This window comes from Homo sapiens, chromosome 3 (genome assembly GCF_000001405.40).
Source record: "Homo sapiens chromosome 3, GRCh38.p14 Primary Assembly".
Lineage (NCBI taxonomy): Eukaryota > Metazoa > Chordata > Mammalia > Primates > Hominidae > Homo > Homo sapiens.
The window spans coordinates 148,642,237-148,646,666 of record NC_000003.12 but is presented as its reverse complement, the minus strand read 5'-3'; the positions used below and the strand labels follow the sequence as shown (position 1 = coordinate 148,646,666).

At 38.7% G+C, this 4,430-nt stretch overlaps 1 annotated feature.

Moving 5' to 3' along the window:
- Positions 2,363-3,562: an enhancer, noted in NCBI's record as "MED14-independent group 3 enhancer chr3:148360892-148362091 (GRCh37/hg19 assembly coordinates)". NCBI's record gives its function as "activates an origin of replication core promoter dependent on BRD2, BRD4, P300/CBP and CDK7 cofactors, and independent of MED14, by STARR-seq in HCT116 cells {active_cell/tissue: HCT116}" and the evidence as "EXISTENCE:reporter gene assay evidence [ECO:0000049][PMID:35650434]".

Genomic DNA, 4,430 nt, shown 5'->3' with positions numbered 1-4,430 from the left:
GAATTAAATGCTTGCTAATGAAGTGTTACATTTCTTAGTTTCTCCAACTCATTTTAATTGAAAAAAATCCCTTAAAGTGTCTCCCATTTTCCTATTCTCAGAAGAGAAATAAGAATGATCTATAAAAGAACATGCAGTACAATGACTAAAAAACTGAAACAAAAACGGCATTCTTTAGAAAAAAATCTTGCATTCCTTTTGTGTATGTGAGAAGTGGCGCAGAGTTCAGATGTTCAAGGATTCATTCTTAACAGATTTTTCAAACATTCAGATAGATATTTCAGTGGAATAATCTCAGTAGTTTATGCGGGTGATAAATGAACATTTTAGGCTCACCTGACCCCAGGCAACACTGAGCTAAATTACCTTTTCTCCAAATGGAGCCCTCTATACATCTCTCTCTTCCTTGAAATGCTGATTAAAACAGCAAGAGGTGATGAAAAAGATGTTGTGTTGACTCAGGGATAAAGCAATAATGGAAATGTGTGAAATCATAGCCTGGCTCCGGAACCAGGTATAACTTGGACTGTAAAATGCAACACTTCCCGAGGCTCCATGCTGTCCACAGGGAAGGCAATTACCTTTGGGTTGGGGAAAGCTTGAGATGCACAGCTTAAGGGAGGCAGGTGAGCTAGTGTCTGGGGGAGACTGGGAGGCCCTGGGGGAGCCAGGACACCTAATTTCTTCTCCATGTTCTACCTTTGACTCAAGGTGATAATACTGCTATTCCAACACCATCCTAAGTTTCAAGATAAATTTTTATTAGCCATAGAATGAATGTAAGATGCCCAGAGACTGTTTCCACATATTCAGGATGTTGCCTTTACAGGCCCCTAAGAAGCTAAAGAGGGAGACGGTGATAAGGGAATGTGGAAGAAGGGGAAATGGGAGGCATGCCTGAAGGGAAAGCAAGGGACAGGGAAGGGAAAAGTAGGGAAGGAAGAGGAAGAGTGAGTCAAAAGAGCATGTGGAAGGGAAGGTAGAGGAAGAAAAGAAACAGAGGGAGAAGGCCAATGTCTCTGTCTTTTCAAGTGAAACACGCTCATTTAGATTCATATGCGTGAAAGCATATAATGGTAATATTATGGTAAAATGCTATGAGTGTGAGCATGTATGTGTACATGAGGCTACACTTGGGATGCCATGCAAGTGTATGTGCAGCCTTTGCTCAGTTATTCCAGGCCCTCAACTTCTTCTCCAAAATGGAAGGGTGTCAAGGGACTCAATAGCAAATGGATTGGGCTCTATGTTCTCTGTCAGACCTGTGTGGCTTTGCTACATATCCAGGCTGAGAAGATATCCTTTTCCATATTCCCCCAAACCCTCTGTTATTTGACTGTCCTGTTGCCAAAATTCTGAGGGTATCTGCAATGTATTTCCAACTTTGTTATAAAGGAATTTCAGTCCCTGAGATATCCTGGTAGCTAACCATTTGACACAGCTATTTTATTAACCTAGTCCTTGCAGCTTCCTGGAGGGATGCCGGAACAGGGAAAATGATGGTATCTGCTTGAAAAACATGAAAATTAATGGGGACTATATCCGAATGAACTTATCTTTTTCATAGGAATGTACTCTTCTAGAAAACATGAAACAATTACAGTGTACAATTTTTATACATTTCTCCAGGGTACAAATCTTTCTTTTATCATATGCATAGCTATTTTTGCCTACTTGGGATTCAAAGATGCAGTGGGGACCATATACATGAGGCTGATCATTTTAGAAAATGAATCATAAAATAGTTGCACATGAAATAAAGTAGGGAGTGAAGAGTCCTACAAGTCCTGTAGTAATTATTAAAGAGCAATTAGTCTCTTTATAAATCAGTTCATCAAGGAAGTCTTTTAAAAGTCAAGCTGCTTGAATATAATGATCACTTATTTAATTGACGTAAATAAAGGAAGGAATGAAATTTAAATTTAAAATGTAGATACCTTAGGTGGTGAAGAGTAAGAGAGGGGGAAGATTATTGATTGTCAGAATTTCAATTCATATACATTGTCCCCTTCCAACCACCACAACTGAATTCTGAGACATTTTGGGGAATATATTAGAAATTAGTGGGGCAAGTTCACCAGAAACCTTTTGGCATAGGGTCTTAGGATTGTACTTGGAAGGCACTTACCCTGAAAATAAAAGATACCTGAACCAATATATTAAATGATTAAGAAATTATTTTAAAATAGAACACAGTAACTGACTCTCAGCTTTAACTTTTGTTTCAGGCATCCTTACTCCTGAACCATAGGTGAATCCTATATAGATCTGAGCATCTATAAGAGAGACCTGTTGACCTGGAAGCTTTGTAAATCATTGGGACACAAATAGCACAGCTTTGTGTTAGAGATGTCTCTACCATAGTGGGGCAGGAGTGGGGTGGGAACAGGCACACATTTCTAAGTACCCTGATCACAGAGCTGAGGGATCCTGTGAACACTTGAGTACCTGGGGATGATACTTACTTGAACAATGGGGTGTCAGTTGTCAAGTTTAGTTCTTGGAGAAAAACAGAAGAATAGTATCATGGCTTGTTAGAGACTGTGGCACCCCATAGGAGTATTCATATTTCTGAGGCACCTCTTGGAGGTCTCCACAAATAATTGATAGGGAATTTTATAGGGTGCCAAAGGTTTTGAACCTTCTGTTAGAGTCCAGAGCCAGTGAAATGTGTTATATTTTTTGCTGTGATTCCATTCTTTCATGAAGCCCAGGAATACTGAGTTTAAACAACAATCTCACTTTTGGGTAAGATGAGCTGAAAATTTTCGTCTGACCTGAAGACTTGTGAGCTTACAACAATGATATGGGTTTGCAGACATTTTTGACGATCTTCCTGGTGGGAAGGGATGCCTTATTTTAACCTCAGAAACTGTCAGAGTGACTCAGCACTTTAGGGAACCAGGACTTAGGGTTACGTTCTTGCCAACAGAAACTGGGATAAAGCAGCTGTAGGCCCACAGCTAAAGAAGTTTAAACCATGAGCAATATTCTAGGAGCTTTCCTAGAGTGTGTCTGGAGGGTGTTTCTGCATGAGCTGGTTGCCACACCATCCGCACTGACCTGGCATGGCAGTAATCTCAGTAATCTGGTATCCTTTGTAAAACCCCTTGTTAGTAAATCTCCATCATGTTTATATATGGTAATGTCCTACTTGACCAGAGGTCAGGCTCCCAGCACCCTCTGTTCCCTGGAATGCAAACTCAGAAATAAGCAGAAAAGGCCGTGTGGTACTCAAAATAGCTCCTGTGTCCCCAGACTAAAGCCATGGACTTTCCTTCTTACAGGCTTATATGCTCTCACTTAGAAATTGTTTATTTTTATTTAACAGAGGTCATAATAATTGTGGGTTTCTTGGTTTCCCAGCTCAAAGTAGATTAAAAGTAACACATTAGGAAGTCAGAGAAAATGTTAGAAGCAAGCAAACTGGCAGCTATGAAGTAACAGTTCATAGATAAGGAAGGAGGAAGCAGAAAATTAAAAAACAGATTCAGAACTGCATGTATTTCATATAATAATGCAGTGCTAGTGATTCATAATGATAGTGTAGTTATCAAAAAGACCAAATTATGTTCAGTGGTTGCTATTTTAAAAAGGCAAGGAAGAATTTAATATAGTTTTCAAAAATTTACATAAAATGATATAAAAAATAGGTTTGCACATCCATCGGTGTAAGTTTGAGCTATCTAGATGAAATGCATGGCCTGCCTCTTTGCCAAAGATGATTACTATATTTGAATTCTCGGAGGACTTTATTTGTACCTTCTAATGGCACTTGCTGTTCTCATCATTGTATTACAGTCATTTGAGTTCACAGTAATGCCATTTAACTCACTCAGAGGCAAGGAGGAAGCTGGATTTCTATCATGTCATGATGTATGTGACTTTGATGAGTCAGACTCTCTGTGTATTAGCTTTCTTAATTGCAAGACATGAGATTTGGAACAAATGAACTTGAGGTCTTTCCAGTTTGTGAATTTTATGTATTTATGTAGTAATTGATAAGAATTTTGTAGTGAATGTGCAGATACATATATATATATGGATTCCAGCTTTAAACATTAAGGGCATCTGTAGTCACAAACCAATGACATGGGTCTATTGCCAGATAAATGCCCATTCCTTGCAACATAAATAAAGGCTTTTTTTTTTTTTTGCAAAGTTATGTTGTGTATCTCTTGCTCAACAACCATTTTCTATTCTAATATACTTTGGAAAAAAATGCCTTTGCTATTATCTCAGTCTATGGTTCTACTGAAGTGACTTCATCCATTGGCTCTGGAGTGGTCAAATGACTCAGGCCCAACCAATCAACATAGCCACTCCTTAGAGCAGAGTGATTGGTTCAGGGATGAATATGTGATGCAAGCTGATTGAATAAAAGTTAATCCTAGGACTTTTTCTGGAACTATTCACACATTCAGGAAATG